This window comes from Homo sapiens, chromosome 6, assembly GCF_000001405.40.
Source record: "Homo sapiens chromosome 6, GRCh38.p14 Primary Assembly".
NCBI classification, from domain to species: domain Eukaryota; kingdom Metazoa; phylum Chordata; class Mammalia; order Primates; family Hominidae; genus Homo; species Homo sapiens.
Genome location: NC_000006.12, coordinates 141,065,261 through 141,088,924, shown reverse-complemented (window position 1 = coordinate 141,088,924; position 23,664 = coordinate 141,065,261).

Below are 23,664 nucleotides of genomic sequence, written 5' to 3'. Positions count from 1 at the left end.
AAGTTTGAGGGTATTTTGAAGAGTGAATCTCAGGCATAGTGTGTGAAAGTGTGAAACAGCATGAGAGTTTGATGTGCTAATGCTAGTTCTATAAAGTTGACGATTACTGAGGGCAAAGATGTGGAGATGAGGTTAACCAGCTAATAGAGGGAGAAATTAAATAATAAAAAATTCTTTCTTCAAAGTAAGACAAGAAAGGAGAAAAAATTACAACAAAACCGATAAATACAAAACAAATAAGATTGTAGGTTTATATTCCAGTATATAAGTAACTTCATTAAATATAAATACTTAGCCAAAAGACAAATGTCAGATAGGATAAAAATTAAAATGAACCAGATAATTAAGTCTTCCTGCTAAAGTCCCTGCAGTTATATGGAAAATCACTAATGTAATGAAGCAGAAGGATAAAATCATTAGATTTGTGTTTTGGAAAGATCATTTTGGCAGGGAATATTGAATTAATACAAGCAAATTAAACATGATCCCTGGTCTCTGGTACTTTGTTTCTGGCCCCTGTACTGAAAGAGCTCACAATCCAGGGACACAGACAAATCTGTAAACAGACAAATTACAACACCAGGCTGCAGTTAAAGTTTTTAGAAACAAAGTTTGGATTGGCAAACTCAGTTTGGGGAAAGCATCACAGACAAAATAACATTTAATCTAGGATATGTGTATTTATTTGGTGAGCTACTCTTTTATTTGTGTGCCAATGAAATAGAAATTTTGTATCAAATCACAGAACAGTTCATGGGTGACATGAGTTGAGTTTTGGTGTGTTACTTAAGCATTTCCTTTTTATTGTTTAGTTGGTATGATATCCTACTTCCTAAATATTTAAACTATGTTTCAAATGGTTAAGTAATTCACATATAATTACTAGACTCAAGGATTATATATTTGATAACATAAAATAAAAATTTACATCATTTTATGATAAAAAACGAACAGAAAGAGCAAATACATGCAGTTTTTTACCATTTTTTAAAATACATCGATTATTTCAAATTAAGTAAAACAAAAATTGATATATGGGATGGTAGCGTCCGTTGTTTGGAAAAGAAAAATGTACACAATATTAATTTTATCTAGTCTCTGCTTAGTTCATCTGATCTCACATTAATATTAATATTTGGAATCTCAATATGTAATGGTAGATATGCTATATATTGAAGAAAAATTATGACTTTTTAATATTTCCAAGGTAATATTTTAGCTTTTTATAAACATCTACCCCAAGGAAACTCAATATAGAGAACTTTAAGACCTACATAAATAAAAATGCATATTCCAGTTACAATGATATAGATTAGTATATGTAAGTTGCCCAGTTGTGATATGTATATACCACATAACTCAAAAACAGGTAATCTAGAACATAATGCTGAATATCATTTAGAGATTTCAGTTTAAAAAGTCATTTGAAGTGAATTATCATTGCATTATTTTCATATCTATAAAATAAAAAAGATATATAAGACATGAAGGACACATAAATTTAATATTTATTTCACGAATTAAACTTATAGTGATTAATGGGACTCTCAAAATTTTTTCCATTTGGAAAGAGATACTCTTGCTGGTAAAAGTATTAAATACTAAGATGGAAAATAAAATGCTTGTTTCTGTTTCCTGAAAGATTAAAACATTATATGGAACACATAACTCTGATGGGTCTTTCTCCTTATCACATATTGCTCTGTATTTTGTGTATTCAAATTATGGATTTCATGTCATTATTCTGTTTGCAAATGAGCACACTACATATCATAGTTGGATCTCCTATAGTTATGCTGCAGAAACATAAAAATCCTGTTTTCTGTTAAAGATTGTGCAATGAATGTTTAAAAATAAGTGTATGCACACATTTTTAATGTGTAGATAATTTGCATTTATTTGCACTTTGAAATAGTCTTATACACTCACATTTTCTCTACTTTTGTTACTTTTGATCAAATTTGCATAAAGCATGAAAATTCCCCAGCTGTTCAGTGGAATACATTATTTTCTGCTTTCAAAGAAAGTGTAAGTGACATTTCCTTTCTTTAATTTAGCACCCATTTTATTAAATTTCAAGTTAAAGAAACATAAATACCACATAAACAAATGTATGCCTAGAATGAGGAAAGATAAGAAATAAGACTCCACATAAGGTTTGGAACTCAAGGGCTTAATGAGATGTAATTGCATTGTAAATGCAAATACGTCACAGAAAAGTCATTAATTATAATAGAAAAAAAGTTTACAAATAAATAAAAACCATCATGGTAGATTTTAGAGATTGCTTCTTAAAATTTAGGCCTAGAGAGTCTTTGTGCTAAACAGGTAACATTAGGTAGCGGGCACATAAACTAAATGTAATAGAGCAAATAAGACTCCATTGTAAGGCAGTTTTGTTTTCAGCAAATACCTGTTTGACGCATCTATCATGTAACTCTTGAGTAGCAAAAAGCTTTGATAGTTTCTCATGCCTGTCACATTTGTTTGAAATTCAGCATTTAGAAGCAAAAAGTTTCCATACTTAAATATATTATTTTCAACTTCATCTTACTAACTTAAAATATTATATTTTGAAAGGAAATGAACACTTTAAGGTATCTACCTGTTCAATGTATTATGCAAACCAATTTTCATTGTATAATATTTTATTGGATAGTCTCTACTGCTTTGAATTTAAAGTAGTTGTCAGCCATTTATTGACAATTTTGCTTTAGATGGTTTGTATACAGAGAGTTATTCCCTATAGTCACAAATAAATATAAAAGTTGAAATTACAATTAAAAGTAATGTTTGGTTATAAAATTTTTCATGTGAAACAGTAAAAAAATGGTTCTCTTTGGACTAGTAATCAAGAATAAGATACATTTTTCTGAAATCATTTAAAACGTTGGTTCTATTAGCTGGTCAAGCTTGCTAAAACTATATAATTTTACAATTATTAAATGTCAACTAAAAATGAAAGGGAAATCTTTTTTAAAGGGAAAATGGATGTCCAGTAGTTTATTGTGCTAGAAGTTTCAGAATGAAAACTCATAGCTCATGACATTGGTAATACTTTATTATCTACTCTCAACTGATATATCTATTAGGCAAATCTCATAGGTTAATTTTGATACACCAAATAAAAGTGCTTTGAGCACATTACAAATGTGTGTATGTGTAAAATTCAGTCAGATGTCTAAGGATCTGATACAATAATATATAATAAATACTATATCTCAGCTGAAACAGAGTTTTTAAAAAGTAGATTGTATGAAAGATTACTGTAGTCAAAAAGTAGATTTTATCTCTATAACACATATATAAATATAGATATGAAATCTAAAATACAAAGTATTATATGTACATGAATACGCATGTGGACTTATATATGGTGAGAGAGAGGGAGTGAGAAACAAAGAAAGAGAGATGCAGGGACGCTGTGACAGAGAAGAGAGATCAATAAATTACTCATACAAGAATAATTTTAGAGTTTAACTCCATACCAAAAATGGCACTTGCATTTTCTCTATCCTTTTTTTTTTTTTGGTATTAGAAATTTTATATAAAATTTTTTCTCAGCTCATGGAAATGTATTTGTGTATTCAAGTCATCTTTTTATTTTAAATTTTACTGTCATTTTTTTTAAATTTAAGGATTCAAAAAGAAATTGCCATGTATCCTCTTTTTTATTTATTTTTATTTTATTTCCATGGGTTTTGGGGGAATAGATGGTGTTCGGTTACAGGAATAAGTTCTTTAGTGGTGATTTCTGAGATTTTGGTGCACCCATCACCTGAGCAGAGTACACTGTACCCAATTTGCCGTATTTTATCCCTCGCCACCCCCCATCTTCTCCCCCAAGACTCCACAGTCCAATGTATTGTTCTTATGCCTTTACGTCCTCATAGCTTAGCTCCCACGAGTGAGAACATGCAATGTTTAGTTTTCCATTCCTGAGTTACTTCACTTAGAACAATAATCTCCAGTTCCATCCAGGTTGCTATGAATGCCATTATTTTGTTCCTTTTTATGGCAAAATATTATCCCATGGTATACATATACCACATTTTCTTCATCCACTCATTGATTGATAAACATTTGGGCTGGTCCCATTTTTTTTTTTTTTTTTTGGAGATGGAGTCTCACTCTGTTGCCCTGGCTGGAGTGCAGTGGCGCGATCTCGGCTCACTGCAACCTCAGCCTCCGCAACCTCAGCTGAGTGGTTCCATATTTTTGCAATTGCAAACGGTGCTGCTATAAAAATGGTTGTGCAAGTATTGGGATGCTGGATCAAATGGTAGATCTACTTTTAGTTCTTTAAGGAATCTTCACACTCTTTTCCATAGTGGTTGTACTAGTTTACACTTCCACCAGCAGTGTAAAAGTGTTCCCTTTTCACCACATCCATGCCAACGTCTATTTTTTTTATTTTTTGATTATGGCTATTCTTGCAGGAGTGAGGTGGTATTGCATTGTGGTTTTGATTTGCATTTCTGTGATAATCAGAGATGTTGAGCATTTTCCCGTATGCTTGTTAGCCATTTGTTTATCTTCTTTTCAGAATTGCCTATTCATGTCCTTAGACCACTTTTTGATGAGATTGTTTGCTTTTTTTTTTTTTTTTTTTTGGCTAATTTGTTTGAGTTTCTTGTAGATTCTGGATATTAATCTTTCGTCAGATATATAGATTGCAAATATTTTTTTCCCACTCTGCGGGTTGCCTGTTTACTCTGCTGATTGTTCCTTATGCTGTGCAGAGTCTTTTTAGTTTAATTAAGTTCCGTCTATTTATCTTTGTTTTGTTGCATTTGCTTTTGAGTTCTTGGTCATGAAATCATTGCCTCAGCCAATGTCTAGAAGGGTTTTCTCAATGTTATAGTTTTTTTATGGTTTCAGGTCTTAGATTAAAGCCTTTGATCCATCTTGAGTTGATTTTTATATAAGGTGAGAGATGAGGATCCAGTTTCATTCTTCTACATGTGGCTAGCCAATTATCCAAGCACCATTTGTTGAATAGGGTGTCCTTTCCCCACTTTCTGTTTTTGTTTGCTTTGTCAAAGAGCAGTTGGCTGTGAGTATTTGGCTTTATTTCTGTGTTCTGTATTCTATTCTATTGGTCTATGTGCCTATTTTTATACCAGTATCATGCTGTTTTGGTCACTATGGTCTCACATATATTATAGTCTACAGTTGGGTTATGTGATGCCTGTAGGTTTCTTTTTGTTTTTTTGTTTTTGTTTTTGTTTTTGTTTTTGTTTTTTTTTGCTTAGTATTGCTTTGGCTATTTGGGCTCTTTTTTGGTTTTACATGAATTTTAGGATTGTTTTTTCTAGTTCTGTGAAAAATGATGGTGGTATTTTCATGGGAATTGCATTGAATTTGTAGATTGCTTTTGGCAGTATGGTCATTTTCACAATATTGATTCTACCTATCCATGAGCATGGGGTGTGTGCCCAGTTATTTGTGTCATCTATGATTTCTTTCAGCAGTGTTCTTAGTTTTCCTTTTAGAGGTTTTTCATGTCCGTGGTTAGGTATATTCCTAAATATTTTACTATTCTTATTTTTTTGCTGCTATTGTGAAAGGGGTTGAGTTCCTTGATTCGATTCTCAGCTTGGTCGCTGTTGGTGTATAGCAGAGCTACTGATTTGTGTACATTAATTTTGTATCCCGAAACTTCGCTGAATTCATTTACCAGTTCTAGGAGCTTTTTCAATGACTCTTTAGGTTTTCTACGTATATAATCATATCATGAGCAAACAGTGACAGTTTGACTTCCTCTTTACCTGTTTGGATGCTCTTTATTTCTTAACCTTGTCTGATTGCTCTGCATAGGATTTCCAGTACTATGAAGTGGTAAAAGTGGGCAACTTTGTCTTGTTCCAGTTCTCAGGGGGAATGCTTTTAATTTTTCCCCATTCAGTATTATGTTGGCTGTGGGCCTGTCATAGATGGCTTTCATTACATTTTATCCTCTCTATGCCAATTTTGCTAGGGTTCTAGTCGGTGACAGATGCTGGATTTTGTCAAATGCTTTTTCTGCATCTCTTGAAATGATTGTGTAATTTTTGTTTTTAATTATCTTTATGTGGTATATCACATTTCTTGACTTGCTGATGTTAAACCAACCCTGCGTCCCTGGTATGAAACCCACTTGATCATGGTGGATTATCTTTTTGATATGCTGTTGGTTTTGGTTAGCCATTGTTTTGTTAAGGATTTTCACACTGGTCTGTGCTTTTTTTTTTTTGTTATGCCCTTTCCCGGTTTTGGTTGTTAGGGTGATGCTGGCTTCATAAAATGACTTAGGGAGGATCTCCCTTTTCTCTTTCTTGTGGAATAGTGTCAATAGGTATGGTACCAATTCTTCTTTGACTATCTAATAAAATTCAGCTGTGAATTTGTCCAGTCCTAGATGTTTTTTTTTTGTTGGCAATTTTTTTAATTACCATTTGTATTATTTCATCTTCACACTGATAAAGACATACCTGAAACTGTGAACAAAAAGAAGTTTAATTGGACATACAGTTCCACATGACTAAGGAGTCCTCAGAATCATGATGGGAGGCAAAAGGCACTTCTTATGTGATAGAAGCAAGAGAAAAATGAGAAAGAAGCAAAAGCAGAAACCCCTGATAAACCCAACAGATCTTATGAAATTTATTCACTATCAGGCGAATAGCATGGGAAAGACCAGCCCCCATGATTTAATTACCTCCCCCGGCTCCCTCCCACAACACGTGGAAATTCTGGGAGATACAATTCAAGTTGAAATTTGGGTAGGGACACAGCAAAACCGTATCATTCCGACACACCCCTCCAAATCTCATGTCCTCACATTTCAAAACACAATCATGCCTGCCCAACAGTCCCCCATTCTTAACTCATTTCAGCATTAACTCAAAAGTTCACAGTCTAAAGTCTCATCTGAGACAATGCAAATCCCTTCCACCTATGAGCCTACAAAATAGAAAGCAAGCTAGTTACTTCCTAGATACAATGGGGGTACAGGTATTGGGTAAATACAGTCATTTCAAATGGGAGAAATTGGCCAAAACAAAGGGGCTACAGAGCCCATACAAGTCCAAAATCCAGCAGGGTAGTCAAATTTTAAAGCTCCAAAATGATCTTTAACCCCAGGTCTCACATCCAGGTCATGCTGATGCAAGAGGTGGGTTCCCATGGTTTTGGGCAGTTCCACCCCTGTGGAATTGCAGAATACAGCCTTCCTCCTGGCTGCTTTCGTGGGCTGGCATTGAGTGTCTGCAGCTTTTCCAGGCACATGGTGCAAGCTGTTGGTAGATCCACCATTCTGGGGTCTGGAGAACAGTGGGCCTTTTCTCACAGCTCCACTAGGCAGTGCCCCAGTAGGGACTCTGTGGGAGGTCCCTGACCCCACATTTCCCTTCCACACTGCACTAGCAGAGGTTCTCCATGAGGACCCCACCCCTGGAGCAAACTTTTGCCTGGGCATCCAGCTGTTTCCAGACAGCTTCTGAAATCTAGGCAGAGGTTCCCAAACCTCAATTCTTGACTTCTGTGCACCCACAGGCTCAATGCCACCTGGAAGCTGCCAAGGCTTGGGGCTTTCATCCTCTGAAGCCACAGCCTGAGCTCTACATTGGCCCCTTTCAGCCATGGCTGGGGTGGCTGAGACATCGGGCACCAAGTTCTTAGGCTGCATACAGCACAGGGAACCTGGGCCTGGCCCATGAAACTACTCTTTCCTCCTGGGCCTCTGGGCCTGTGATGGCAAGGGCTGCCATCAATGTCTCTGACATGGCCTGGAGACATTTTCCCCATGGTCTTGGTAATTAAAATTAGGCTCCTTGCTACTTATGCAAATTTCTGAAACCTGCTTGAATTTCTCCTCAGAAAATGGATTTTTCTTTTCTACTGCATCATCAGGCTGCAAATTTTCCAAACTTTTATGCTGTTTCCCTTTTAAAATGGAATGCTTTTAACGGTACCCAAGTGACCTCTTGAATGCTTTTCTGCTTAGAAATTTCTTCCACCAGATAACCTAAATCATCTCTCTCAAGTTCAAAGTTCCACGAATCTCTAGAGTAGAGGCAAAATGCTGCCAGTCTCTTTGCTAAAACACAAGAGTCACCTTTGCTCCAGTTACCAACAAGTTATTTATCTCTATCTGAGACCATTTCAGCCTGAACCTTATTGTTCATATCACTATCAACGTTTTTCTCAAAGCCATTGAACATGTCTCTAGGAAGTTCCAAACTTTCCCACATTTTCCTGTGTTCTCAGCCCTCCAAACTGTTCCAACCTCTGCCTGTTACCCAGTTCCAAAGTTGCTTCCACATTTTTGGGTCTCTTTTGAGCAACACCCCACTCTACTAGTACCAGTTTACTGTATTAGTTTGTTTTCATGTTGCTGATAAAAACATAGCTGATACTGGGATCAAAAAGATGTTTAATTGGACTTATAGTTCCACATTGCTAAGGAGGCCTCAGAATCATGCTGGGTGGCAAAAGGCACTTCTTACATGGTGGTGGCAAGAGAAAAATGAGGAAGAAGCAAAAGTGGAAACCCCTGGTAAACCCATCAGATCTCAAGAGAGTTATTCACTATCATGAGAATAGTGCAGGAAAGACCAGCCCCCATGATTCAATTATCCACCCACCCCCAGTTCCCTCTCACAACATGTGGGAATTCTGGGAGATACAGTTCACGTTGAGATATGGGTGGGGACACAGCCAAACCATATCACCATTTTAATCTCGCTGCTTGTTATTGGTTTATTCAGAGTTTCTATTTCTTCCTGGTTTAATCTAGGAGGGTAGTATATTTCCAGGAATTTATCCAACTCTTGTAGGTTTTTTAGTTTATGTGTGCAAAGATGTTCATATTAGCCTTGACTGATCTTTTGTATTTCTGTGGTATCAGTTGTAATATCTCCTGTTTTGCTTCTAACTGCGCTTATTTGGATCCTTTCTCTTCTTTGTTAATCTCGCTAATGGTCTATCAATTTTGTTTATCTTTCCAAAGAACCAGTTTTTGTTTCATTTATATTTTGTATTTTTTGTTTCAATTTCATTTAGTTTTTCTCTAACCTTTGTTACTTCTTTTCTTCTGCTGGGTTTGAGTTTGGTTTGTTCTTGTTTCTCTAGTTTCTTGAGGTGTGACCTTAGATTGTCTGTTTGTGCTCTTTCAGACTTTTTGTTGTAGGCATTTAATGTCATGAACTTTCCTCTTAACACCACCTTCACTGTATTCCAGAGGGTTTGATAGGTTGTGTCACTATTATCATTCAGTTCAAAGAGTTTGTTTCTTTCCATCTTGATTTAATTGTTGACTTAATGATCATTCAGGAGCAGGTGATTTAATTTCCATAATTTGCATGGCTTTAAGAGTTTCTTTTACAGTTGATTTCCAATTTTATTCCACTGTGGTCTGAGAGAGTACTTGATATGATATCATTTTAATTTTCTAAATTTATTGAGACTTGTTTTGTGGCCTATCATATGGTCTATCTTGGAGAATGTTCCATGTGCTAATGAATAGAATGCATATTCTATAGTTATTGGAAAGAATGTTCTGTACATCTTTTTTAAGTCCATTTGTTCTAGGGTAAAATTTAAACCCATTGTTTATTTGTTGATTTGCTGTCTTGATGACCTGTCTAGGGCTGTCAGTGGAGGATTAAAGTCCCTTATCATTATTGTGTTGCTGTCTGTCTCATTTCTTAGGTCTAGTAGTTATTGTTTTATAAATTTGGGAGCTTCAGTGTTAGGTGCACATATATTTAAATTGTGATATTTTTTCTGTTGGACCAGTCCTTTTATCATTATATAATGTCCTTCTTTGTTTTTTTTAACTGTTGTTGCTTTAAAGTGTGTTTTGTCTGATATAAGAATAGCTACTCCTGCCCGCTTTTGGTGTCCGTTTGCATGGAATATCTTTTTCCACCCCTTTACCTAAAATTTATGTGAGTCCTTATGTGTTAGGTGAGTCTCCTGATGACAGCATATACTTAGTTGGTGGATTTTTATGCATTCTTGGTTGGTGGTTTTTTATCCATTATTCCTCAGGAACACCAATTATTCTTAGGTTTGGTCATTTAACATAATTCCAAACTTCTTGGAGGCTTTGTTTTTTGTTTTGCTTTTACTCTTTTTTCTTTGTCTTTGTTCGATTGGGTTAATTCTAAAACCTTGTCTTTGAGCTCCGAAGTTATTTCTTCTGCTTGTTTGATTTTATTGCTGAGACATTCCAGTGCATTTTGCATTTTCCCTCAGTTTTTCCATTATTTCCAGAAACTGTGATTGTTTATTTTTATGCTATCTATTTCCCTGGGTGCCTCCCTGATTAGCTTAATAATCAACCTTCTCAATTCTCTTTCTGGCAATTCAGGGATTTCTTGTTTTGGATCCGTTGCTGGTGAGCAATATGAAAAAACAAGGTTCTTTAACATTGCCAAAAGTTCACCACTTTAAGAGGTGTTAAAAAAACCTTGTTTTATCATATTACTAGAATTGTTTTCCTGGTTCCTTCTCATTTGAGTAGACTATGTTAGAGAAAAGATTTGGGGCTCAAGGCTGCCTTTCAGATTCTTTTGTCCCACAGGGTGCTCCCTTTATGTAGCGCTCTCCCCCTTTTCCTAGTGATGTGGCTTCCTGAGAGTCAAACTGTAATTGTTTGACTGTAATTGTTTAAACTGTAATTGTAATTGATTGTTATTTCTCTTCTGGATCTAGCCATCCAGCAGAGCTACCAGGGTCTGTGCTGATACTGGGGGGTGTTTGCACAGTCCTGTGATGTGAACCATCTTCAGGTCTGTCAGCCACACATAGCAGCAACTGCTTCAGTTAAGGTGGCAGGGCAGTGAAATGTACTCTGTGAGGGTTCTTAGTTGTAGTTTTGTTTATTGCACTAGTTTTGTGCTGGTTAGCCTCTTGCCAGGAGTGGAGCTTTCAAGAAAGCATCAGCTGTGGTAGTATAGGGATGATCAGGCAGTGGGTGAGGCCCTACAGCTCCCAAAAGAATATTTCCTTTGTCCTCAGCTACCAGGGCGGGTAGAGAAAAACCATCCAGTAGGGGCAGCGTTAAGCATGTCTGAGTTCAGACTCCCCTTAGATGGGGCTTGCTGTGGCTGCTGTGGGGATTGCAGTGTGGTTCTCAGACCAATGGAGTTATGTTCCTAGGGGAATTATGGCTGCCTCTGCCGTCACACAGATCACAAGGGAAGTGGGGGAAAAGCTGGCAGCTACAGGCCTCACCCGGCTCATACACACAGCCCAGAAGGCCAGTCTCATTCCCACCATGCCTGCCGCCCAACAGCACCAAGTTTGTTTCCAGGCAGCAGGTGACCAGGGCTGAGAACCTGCCACAAGCTACCAGACTCCTGATTGTAAAAGCAAGCCGGGCTTTCAGGTTTCGTGCCTCCCCACCTGCTGCAGCTTTTGTGCTGTGTCTGCACTCTGGATTCACCCCCGCCCCTGAGTTCTGTCCAGGAAACTTCACATTAGGTCAAAATTATTACAAAAATCAGCTGGAACTGTCCTCCCTGTGGTCTTCTCCCAGGTCCTCTGACAGCCCTCCCTAAGGAGCTCTGAGACACAATGTCAGAAATGGTTTCTCTAGGGACTGAGAGAGCCCACAGGGCTCCCTCCACTGCTTCTTCTACCCTTTTATTTCACTTGGCTCTTTAAAATTGTCTCAGCTCCAGGTAAGGCCAAATCCTTCTCCTGTGATCTGGACCTTCAGGTTCCCCAGTGAGGGTGTGTGTTCAGGGGTGGATGATTCCCCCCTTCACACTTTGGCACTCACCGTTTTTCAGCTGTCTCCCAGGGTCTGCAGGTGCAACCTGCTACCTTCAAAGTATCTGTGGATTCTCTTAGCTTTCCTGGTATGCTCCTGCTGTAGTTCCTGAAGCAAAAGTTCACGATGTGAGTCTCCACACGCTGCTCTGTCAGTCTGAGTGGGAGCTGCAATTTAATCCTGCCTCCTATCTGCCATTTTCCTAATCTCCTCCACTTGGTAAGTTATAAAAATTGCCATATATTCTCTTTCTAAAGTTCACCAATCGTTAATAACCATTTCTTTGTGTTTTGTGACCTAAATATTGTGTGATGAAGTTATTCTGCAAAATGTCTCTCCACTTGGTTTTCCCTGTTGTTTTCTCACAATTACATTTAGTTACTCTTTATTTTTTTTGCATGAATATTGCAGAAGTGATGTTGTATCTTTCTAGCTGCATCTTATTGGGCACATAATGCCAGTGTTTCACAGTGCTGGTGGTTTTTACATCAATTTCTTGGTTCACAGTTTTTATCACTGTAAAATAAAGATACAGGAGTCCATAGTAATATACATAAATAGAAATAAAGTTATTGTTTACAATAAAACATCAATTAATATTATATCTAGTAATAAATATTATATAAATTATTAAATATATTGCATAATAATACAAATATTATAAATTATAATAAACATATAAGTATAGATATTTTATTATATATTATATATTTTTATATTAAGTATTCTGTCATTTAATAAATATAGGAGAAATAGCAGAGTTAGAAAATCATCAATGGAGGCTCAAAAGAGTGATTGAAAGTTTGATAAGAAATATGATCTCAACCTCCCAGGTTGACGTGATAAACTCTTATGTCCAAAACTTAATAATAGGCAAGGGAATTAGAAAGTCATGTCTTCTATTTAGAATTTTGCTGAAGATTCCAGCCATTGCAACGAGGCAATAGAAAAGTAAAAGACATGAAATTTAAAAAGAAGTAAAACTACCTTTCTTCCAACATGGCACAATAATTTGAGAAATTATTAAGGAATCTACAATAAAAGGTGGCTTTTTCTTTCAAGGTGATGGGTTAGAATCTTTCAATTATGATTAAAAGCATTAAGATAAACTCTGTGAGTTTTAATTCAAGAAGAAAAATGGTAGTCCACAAAAATCATGAAGGACACCCCAGATCCCAGAGAGGAGAATGCTAACAAACAGCCTCTGTGACAGCATCAAGCTGATAAAAGTGAGTGAAGCCCCCTATATGTGAGAGAGGCAGACAGCCTACCTCTGTCACTCACCTTTCCAGTGGAGATCTGAGTAACCTAGGCTGAGGGAGATTACTTAGTTTTTCCCAAGCCCTAGAGCTAACCTGGGGAGAAGACTGGAGATGTTGTAGGGAAAGACACCAGGAAAAGCTGCAGACATTTTCCCAAACCCAGGACTGAGAGCAGAACACCACTTTTAATTGACCAAAGTCAGCTGTTCTTTGGTGACCCAGCAGTGTGCCAGCATAGGCACTTTTGTCTTGAACCAAGGATTGGAGTGCCTGTTCTGGAGCGGGGTGGTAGATTTCACAAAACTGCAAAAAGTGCCTCAGTAGTAGGCACTGGAATTGTGCTCTTCCCTATTGCCAGCCTAGGGCAGGAAGAAAGCTACTATAGCTGCGATTTCTTCTGGGCAGCGAGACTTGTAGCCAGAGTCAGCTTGGTGACCCAGAACCAGTCTGCATGTGTCATTGCTGGATGCCCCAGCCTGCTTCCCTGAGATTATGGTACAGAAGAGCCCTCTCTGATCCACCCCCAGGCAGAAATTTAGGCACTGGAAGTGCCTGATTGCTTGCACCGGCAGCCTGAGATGCCCTGCACTTTTATGGACATGGATCATGGAGCAGTGAGGCCCTCTCCATTCCAAGCTCAGGTAGTTCTCCAGGCATACAGGGCACTCATTCACTTGGTACAGCAGCCTGAGCTTCTTCACCCTTCCTGTGCAGACAACTTGGTGCAGGGGGGCCTTCTTGGTTCCATGCCTAGGTAGATCTCCAGGCATTCAAACAATTCATTCACGTGGATCAACAGCCTGACACGTTCTGTACTTTTGTGCAGAGATTGTGGTGCAGGGAGGCCTTTTCTGCTTCACACCCAGGAAGATTCCCAGGTATTCAGAGTACCCACTCTTCTGGTTCAGTAGCTTGAACTCCCTCACACTTCCTCCCCATCGATCATGTTGCAACGAGGCCCCTTCTGCTCCATGCCCAAGCAGATCTCCAGGCATTCAGAGCACCTGCTTGCCTGACTCTGCAGGGTGAAATGATTCCTAGCACACCACGCCCGGCCTGATAGGAATCATTTTACCCTTCCTATGCAGAGATTTTGATGCAAGAGGGCCCTTCCCACTCCACGCCTAGGCAGATCTCCAGTCATCACAAGAACTCATTCTCCTGGAATAGGAGTTTAGACTTCCCCATATTTCCATGCAGAGAGTTTGGGACCAAGTGAGATTTGCAGCTCCACATCGAGGCAAACTTCTGGGAATTGGTGGCTGCCCACTAGATTATCCCTTGGCACTGGTGCTTGTGCCTGCCATCAGGGGACCTATGAATGGACCTGCCCAGTCCAGCCCTGCCCATGGTGATTCCTGCCTCCCAGGGACTGAGCACGGAGCTCAAACCACTGTGAACTCCAGGAATCAGCCCACTGCCTGAGACAACAGAGAGCTTCTACCAGTAAACAAGGATCAAGTATATACCCAGTCACATTGGCCACAGCTGGCTCTTACCTGTAAGCACTATCTACTGGCTCATAGGTTGAACTGCACGGCCCAATATAAAAACTGCTGACAGAAGTGCATGGAGCTATAGAAGCAAAGCCAAAGGAACCTACCAAGAATTCTTTATGGTTACATCACTTGAGTCAGGGAAGGAAAGAAGAAAAATCAATAATACTATAGGAAAAGAAAGAAAGCATCCTACCTGCATGAAACTGATCACAAAAAGTAGAATGCTAATGTCTCCAGATAAGAAAGAATTAACACAAGATTATTAGCACCATGAAATACCTAAATATAGTAACACCACCAAAGGACTGCACTAGCTGTCCAGCAATGGTCCCTAACCAAAATGGAAACTCAGAAATGACAGATAAAGAATTCAAGGCATAGATTGCCAAGAATCTAAATGAGATTGAAGACAAGGTTGACAATTACACAAATAAACTTTTTTTTTTTTTTGAGACAGAGTTTTGCTCTTGTTGCCCATGCTGGAGTGCAATGGCGCTATCTCAGCTCGCCGCAACTTCTGCCTCCTGGGTTCAAGTAATTCTCCTGCCTCAGCCTCCCAAGTAGCTGGGATTACAGGCATATGCCACCACGCCTGGCTAATTTTGTATTTTTAGTCGAGACGGGGTTTCTCTATGTTGGTCAGGCTGGTCTCGAACTCCTGACCTCAGGTGATTCACCCACCTCGGCCTCCTAAAGTGCTGGGATTACATGCGTGAGCCACTGTGCCCAGCCTACAAATAAACTTCTAAATCAATCTAGGAACTGAAGAAGGAGATAGACATCTTAAAAAGAAATGAGAGCTTATGGAATTGAAAAATGCACTTAATTAATTTCAAAATGTAATTTAAAGATTTATCAATAGACTAGACCAAGCAGAAGAAAGAATTTCAGAGTTTAAAAACCAGACTTTTGAACCAATACGATCAGATCAGAATTTAAAGAAAAGAATTTTTAGAAAAAGAACAAAGTCTTCAAGAAATATAAAATTATATAAAGTGATCAAACACACAAATTATTGTAATTTCAGAGAGAGAAAAAGAAAAGTAAATAACCTGAAAAATATGTTTGTGAAAACAATTCAAGAAAATTTTCCTAATCTTGGGAAAAAGGCAGACATCCATACACAAGAAAGTCAGAGAGCACCTGCGAGATTCGATATAAGATGAACATCACCAAGACATGTATTTACCAGCCTGTCCAAGGGCAATGCTAAAACACAATCTTAAAGGCAACTAGAGAAATAGTTCAGATCACATACAAAGGGAACCCCAGAAGTATAACAGCAAATTTCTTTACAAAAGACTTACAAGCATTGAGATATTGGTGACCTAATATCAACATTCTTTTTCTCAGACAGGGTCTCACTCTAGTTGCTCTTGCTGGAGTGGCATGATCTCAGCTCACTGAAGCCTCGACCCTCTGGGCTCAGGTGATTCCCCGTCTCAGCTTCCCATGTAGCTGGGACTACAGGTATTCACTACCATGCTTGGTTAATATTTTGTATTTTTTTTTAGTAGAGATGGGGTTTTGGAATTTTTCCCAGTCTGGTCTCAACCTCCTAGACTCAAGCAATTCACCTGCCTCAGCTGCCAAAAGTGATGGGATTACAGGACTGTATTGGTCCATTCTCACAGATATAAGGATATACCTAAGACTGGGTAACTTATAAAGGAAAGATATTTACTTGACTTACAGTTCCAAAGGGCTGGAGAGGCCTCAGGAAACTAACAATCATGGCAAAAGGATAAGCAAACATGTCTTTCTTCTCATGGCAGAAGGAAGGAGAAGAATGAGTACCCAGAGAAGGGGGAAACCCCTTATAAAACCATAAGATGTTGTGAGATCTAACTCACTATCATGCAAGCAGCATGGGAAAAACAGCACCCATGATTCAATTATCTCCACTTGGTCCCTCCCATGACTCGTGGGGATTATGAAAACCACAAATTCAAGATGAGATTTGGGGGGTGACACAGCCAAACCATATCATTCTTCCCCTGCCCCTCATAAATCTCATGTCCTTACATTTCAAAACAGAATCATGCCCTTTCAACAGTCCCCCAAAGTCTTAACTCATCCCAGCATTAACTGAAAAGTCCAAGTCCAAAGTTTCATGTGAGACAAGTTAAGTCCCTTCCACCTATGAGCCTATAAAATCAAAAGCAAGTTAGTTACTTCGTAGATACAATGGGGGTACAGGCAATGGGGAAATACTCCCATTAGAAATGGGAGAAATTGCCAAAACAAAGGGGTTAAAGGCCCCATGCAAGCCCAAAATCCAATAGGGTAGTCATTAAACCTTGAAGTTCCAAAATGATCTCTTTTGACACCATATCTCACATCCAGGTCACACTAATGCAAGAAGTGGGCTCACACAACCTTGGGCAGCTCCACCCATGTGGCTTTGCAGGGTACAGCCGCACTCTGGCTACTTTCATGGGCTGGTGTTGAGTGTCTCTGGCTTTTCCTGGTGCACAGTACAAGCTGTCAGTGACCTACCATTCTGGGGTCTAGAGGGCAGTGGCTGTCTTCTTACAGCTCCATTAGGCAGTGCCCCAGTGGGGACTCTGTGTGGAGGCTCCAACCCCATATTTCCCTTCCTCACTGTCCTAGCAGAGATTCTTCATGAGGGCCCTGTCCCTGCAGCAAACTTCTGTCTGGACATCCAGGCTTGTTCATATATCCTCTGAAATCTAAGTGGAGGTTCCTAAACCTCAATTCATGACTTCTGTGCACCTGCAGGTTAAACACCACATGGAAACTGCCCAGGCTTGGGGCTTGCACCCTCTAGAGCCATGTCCCGAGCTGTACCTTTGCCCCTTTTCACCATGGCTGGAGTGGCTGGAACTTAGGGCACCAAGTCCCTAGGCTGCACACAGCAGGGGGTCCCTAGGCCTGGCCTATAAAACCATTTTTCTTCCTAGGCCTCTGGGCCTGTGATGGGAATGGCCACCAAGAAGGTCTCTGACATGCCCTGAAGACATTTTCCCCATTGTCTTGCTGATTAACATTTGGCTCCCTGTTACTTATGCAATTTTCTACATCTAGCTTGAATTTCTCCCCAGAAAGTGGGTTTTTCTCTTCTACCACATCGTCATGCTGCAAATTTTCTGATCTTTTTTTTTGCTCTGCTTCCCTTTTAAATATAAGTTCCAATTCCAAACCATGTCTTTGTGAATACATACAGCTCAGTGCTTTTAACAGCACCCAAGTCATGTCTTGAACACTTTGCTGCTTAGAAATTTCTTCTGCCAGATACCCTCAATCATATCTCTTAAGTTCAAAATTCCATAGATCTCTAGGGCAGGGGTAAAATGCCACCCGTCTCTTAGCTAAAACATAGTAAGAATCACCTTTATTCCAGTTCCCAACAAGATCCTCATTTCCATCTGAGATGGCCAGCATTCGGTCAAAGCCATTCAACAAGTCTCTAGGAAGTTCCAAACTTTCTCACAATTCCCTTTCTTCTTCTGAGCCCTCCCACCCTTCCAACATCTGACTGTTACCCAGCTCCAAAGTCGCTTCCACATTTTTGTGTATCTTTACAGCAGCATCCCACTACTCATTACCAATTTACTGTATTATTTTGTTCTCATATCAATAAAGACATACCTGACACTGGGTAATTTATAAAGAGAAAGATGTTTAATGGACTCACAGTTCCACATGGCAGGGGAGGCCTCACAATCATGGCAGAAGGTAAAGGAGGAGCAGGCTCATGTGTTACATGGCAGCAGGCAAGATAGTGGGTGCAGGAGGACTCCCCTTTATAAAACCATCAGATCTTGTGAGACTTACTCACTATCATGAGAACAGCATAAGAAAGACTTTCCCCCATGATTTAATTACCTCCCACCAGGTCCTTCACATGACACGTGGGAATTATGGGAGCTATAATTCAAGATGAGATTTGGGTGGGAACACAGCCAAACCATATCAACAGGGTAACTATGCGTTGGGGAAAGGGCAATGATCAGACATGTCAGGGACTACTGGACACAGGCTCTGAGCATATGATGATTCCAGGGGACCTAAAACATCACTGTGGTCCTCTGGTTAAAGTAGGAGCTTATGGATTTCAGGTAATTAATGGAGTTTTAGCTCAGGTTCAACTTACATTGGATCCCCTGACTCATCCTGTGCCAGAATGCATAATTTTCATAGACATGCTTAGAAGCTGGCACAATCCCCACATTGGCTCCCTGACTGGTAGAATTAAGACAATTATAGTCAAAAAGGCCAAGAGAAGCCATGAAAGCTGCCTCTACCTAGAAATATAGTAAATCAAAAACAATATTACATCCCAGATGGGATTGCAGAGATTAATACCACCATTAAGGACTTGAAAGAATTTGGGGGTGGTGATTCCCACCACATCCCTGTTCAACTCTCCTATTTGGCCTGTGAAGAAGACAGATAAATCCATTATTATCATAAGCTTAACAAAATGGTAGCTCCAATCGCAGCTGCTATACCAGATGTGGTTTTATTGCTTGAGCAAATTAACACCTCTCCTAATACCTGGTATGTAGTAATTGATTTGGCAAATGTCTTTCTCCATTCCTGTCTGTAGGGACCACCAGAAGTAATCAGTCTTCAGCTGGCAAGGCCAGCCATATACCTTCACTGTCCTACCTCAGGGATATGTCAATTCTCTGGCTTTGTGTCACAATGTTGTTTGCAGAGATCTTGATTGCTTTTCCCTTCCACAAGATATCACACTGGCCTATTACATTAATGACATTATGCTAACTAGATCCAGTGAGGGAGAAATAGCAAACAGACTGTACTTATTGGTGAGACATTTGGCATGCTACTGGATGGAAAATAAATCTGACTAAAATTCAGAGAACTTCTACCTCAGTGAAATTTCTAAGGGCCCAGTGGTGTGGGGCCTGTTGAGATATTCATTCTAAGGTGAAGGATAAGTTGCTGCATTTTGCCCCTTCTACAACCAAGAAAGAGTTACAATGCCTAGTGGGCCTATTTGGATTTTGGAGGCAACACATTTCTCATTTGAGTGTGTTAGTCTGGTCCATTTATTGGTTGCCAGTTTTGAGTGGGGTTCAGAACAGGAGAAGGCTCTGCAACAGGTCCAGGCTGCAGTGCAAGCTGCTCTGCCACTTGGGTCACATGACCTAGCAGATCCAATAGTGCTTGAGGTGTCAGTGGCAAATAGGGTTGCTCTTTGGAGCCTTTGGCAGGCCCCCATAGGTGAATCACAGCAGAGGCCTCTAAGATTTTGGAGCAAGTCTCTGCCATCTTCTGCAAATAACTACTCTCCTTTTGAAAGACAGTTCTTGGCCTGTTACTGGGCTTTGGTGGAAACTGAACATTTGCATATGGGTCATCAAGTCACCATGTGACCTGAACTGCCTGCGTATCATGAACTGGGTGCTTCCTGACCCATCTCACCATAAAGTTGGGCATGCAAAGCAGCATTCATCATCAGGTGGAAGTGGTATGTATGTGACTGGGTTTTAGGAGGTCCTGAAGGCACAAGTAAGTTACATGAGAAAGTGGCTCAAATGCCCATGGTTTCCACTCCTGCCAATCTGCCTTCTTTTCCCAAGCCTGCACCAATGGCCTCGTTGGGAATTCCCTGTGATCAGTTGACAGAAGAAAAGACTAGAGCCAGGTTTATAGCTGCAACACTGCAGCCCCTTTGTTTTGGCCAATTCTTCCCATTAGGTACAGGTGTATTTACCCAACACCTGTACCCCTATTGTATCTAGGAAGTAACTAATTTGCTTTTCATTTTACAGGCTCATAGGCGCAAGGGACTTGCCTTGTCTCAGATGAGACTTTGGACTTGGAGTTTGGGTTAATGCTGGAATGAGTTAAGAATTTGAGGGACTGTTAGAAGCTCATGATTGTTTTGAAATGTGAAGACATAAGATTTGAGAGGGGCCACGGCAGAATGATAAGGTTTGGCTCTGTCCTCACCCAAATCTTACCTTGAATTTTAATAATCCCCGTGGATCAAATCGGAACCAGGTGAAAGTAATTTGATCATGGGGGCAGTTTCCCCCATGCTGTTCTCATGATAATGAGTGAGTCTCTCTCACAAGACCTGACGGTTTTATAAGCACGTGGAATTTCCATGCTGGCACTCATTCTCTCTTCTGATGCCCTGTGAAAAGGCCCCCTCCACCATGATTGTAAGTTTCCTAAGGCATCCCCAGCCGTGAGGAACTGTGAGTCAATTAAACCTCTTTTTATTTTTTGACAAATTACCCAGTCTAGGCTATTTCTTCACAGCAGCATAAGAACAGGCTAATACACTTACAAAGGATGAGACAGATTGGTTTTTAGGATGCGGAGCTGAATCTACTCTGTATGGCTTTAGAATACAAAGCTGGCACCAAATAATGGATGTTATTAAAAGGTAGATTTTGGTATAGGTGACACTTTGTTTCCTAATTTTTAGACTTGTTGAAAGAAGATTATTAGTAGGAATTGAATCAAGCAGAAGCAAAGAAACCACTTGCCAGGATGTCACAAAGAGAATCCAAATGAAGACACAGAATAAATTCTAATGCCTTTCACAAAATGCTCAGATTTTAACAAAAAGTTTTAGGTTCTATGTTCTTAACATATTACACTTTTGAAGGAAGAGAATGAAATAAAGATTGGCATAGACAGGGAGGATTCTGAGGATGTAAGAGAAGTTGAGTAGAAACATTGCAACAATTCAATTAGCAGAAAATTTGTTGAAGTGTTTTTTTTGTAAAAACAATTTTCTAAAAATGTTAGCTCCCTCAGAAACATCAGAAAAAAATATTTTGCAATATTTATGGCATGTTTTGTTCTTAGAAACTTAATGTCTCTATTCACATAGTATCTCTCTTTGTAAGTTCCAGTAACAATCATTCAGGAGAGTACAAAGACATCATATTATCTCTACAGCAAACATCCTAACCTGTGACAGGTGCATACACACACCAAGTGTAAAACAGTTGAAATCTCACTAGAAAAATGTGTTTTCTGATTAGAGTGACTGGTAAGTGGTTTTAAATAAATTTGTGCATGTAATACATACTTAAAAGTTAATATTTTGAGATGGCAGATCCCTTAAGCAAATATTTTACTAATGAAAGCAACTCCATCAAATGACAAGGTGGGCATTTAACTTACAGTTCATTTTATGTTCAGAAAATTAGGAACGTTTTTAGTTTCCTAATACCTTTTTCTGAGCCTCTCTCTCATGAGTGGATATGTGCATTTACCTGTGCATACACATACCTCCCCAGGTGTGTATATCTGTATATGTAAAGGATTTGGAGAATTGGAGTGGAGTAATATGAAAAGAAAAATGTCTCCTCTTTCTGTGATTAGGGATTCTTTTTGGTGGTTGGGGAAGCTATTAAAGTTGATTCATCTGAGCTTTTCTAGAATAAAGAATAAGGCTGCTTTGAATGAAATATTTTTTATTTAATGAAAATGAGAGCTCACTTCTCAATATATATGTACGAGATTATAAATCAATTTCTCTTTCTTTTCTATCTGAGTTTCTCCTTAACCCGTTGCCTTTACCTTCACTATAAAAGAGGAAAAATTAAAATGTATGTTTTGTTTCCAAAACCAAATTTTTTTTCTAATATCAAAGGCTTACAATTCAAAGGAGAATATAAAAATTACTCAGTCCTTTTCATAATTATTCAAATGGCATTAGAAAGAAAAATAGACTTTTTCATAAGTAAAATATGGTCTATTTTATTAATATTTCAAGCTTTCATAGAAAGCTTTGCATGCGTGAGTCAGAACCTCAAAGCAAATCTCATTTACAATTCGTGACATCTTTTCATCCCAATTATTTAGTTTCATTTTCTTTGCATTTTATTTCTTTTAACTTTTAGGTTCACATTCATTTAGCTGAAACTATTATAATCCTTTCTCCCTTTACCAAAAATTCATCTTTATCTGAGACCTGTGTTTTTTTTTTTTTTTCTTTCGTGAGGTCGTTAAACTCAAATATGGATCTGAGTTAGTAATCTACTAAGGAGGAAATGCTGGAAAGAACTTACATAGTTAACCTATTTGTGCATTTTATCATTGGTATCCAGGTTAATTCACACAAACATTTATTTCAAATTGTTATGTATACAATTTAACAATTTTATCATCTCTACCACATTTAGTGAGTGATTCTAATATTTTCTGTTTCTTTGTTGTTAGGGTTTACTTACCTTTCTTTATTACACTTTATTTCATTTATTTTGAAATACTACTTCATTCCCATCCTCAATTGTGATTACGAAGATACATGCTGTTACTGTTAGATTTTTAAATGGTGTATTTTTACAAATATATTTTTAAATGAGTTTGAGCCATATATATATATACATAAGAAACTAAAAGTTTAAGTAATACAAGATATTACTTGCTTCTTGAATCATAAATACACTCTATTGATTTTATTTATTTACCTTACCTCCCACAATTCTAACAAGTCTCCATCCTTTTAATTCAGACCAAGACATCAGATTCCTCTGTAGACCTAGCAGATCTGTCCACCCCTGGAAACTTGCCTAATTCTTTCTTGTTTCTAAATTACCAATTCAGGCATCCAAACTTTTTACCACAGCCTACTCTTCTTCCAACACACTGTTCAATCACTGTACCATGATTATTAGTAGATTTGAAAAGATATCTTCTCTAATAATACCTCTATTGTGTCATAGTAAAACCATTCTCTCTGTATTTTCTCCTCTTTATGCAGTACAGATTTTATTGTCCACTGCATCAACAATACATTTTTTAATACTTTAATGTTCCTTAACTTTATACATCTTGATATGGCTTGGCTGTGTCCCCACCCAAATCTCACCTTGAATTGTAATAATCGCCACATGTCAAGGGTGGTGCCAGGTGGAGATAATTGAATCAGAGGGGCGATTTCCCCTATACTGTTGTCATGGTAGTGAATAAGTCTCTTGAGATCTGATGGTTTTATAAAAATTGGGGTTCCTCACACATGTTTCTCTTTCCTGCCACCATGCAAGATGTTACTTTGCTCTTCATTCACCTTCTGCCATGATTGTGAGGCTTCCCAGCCATGTGGAACTGTGAATCAATTAAACCTCTTTCCTTTATAAATTACCCAGTCTGAGGTATGTCTTTATTAGCAGCATGAGAA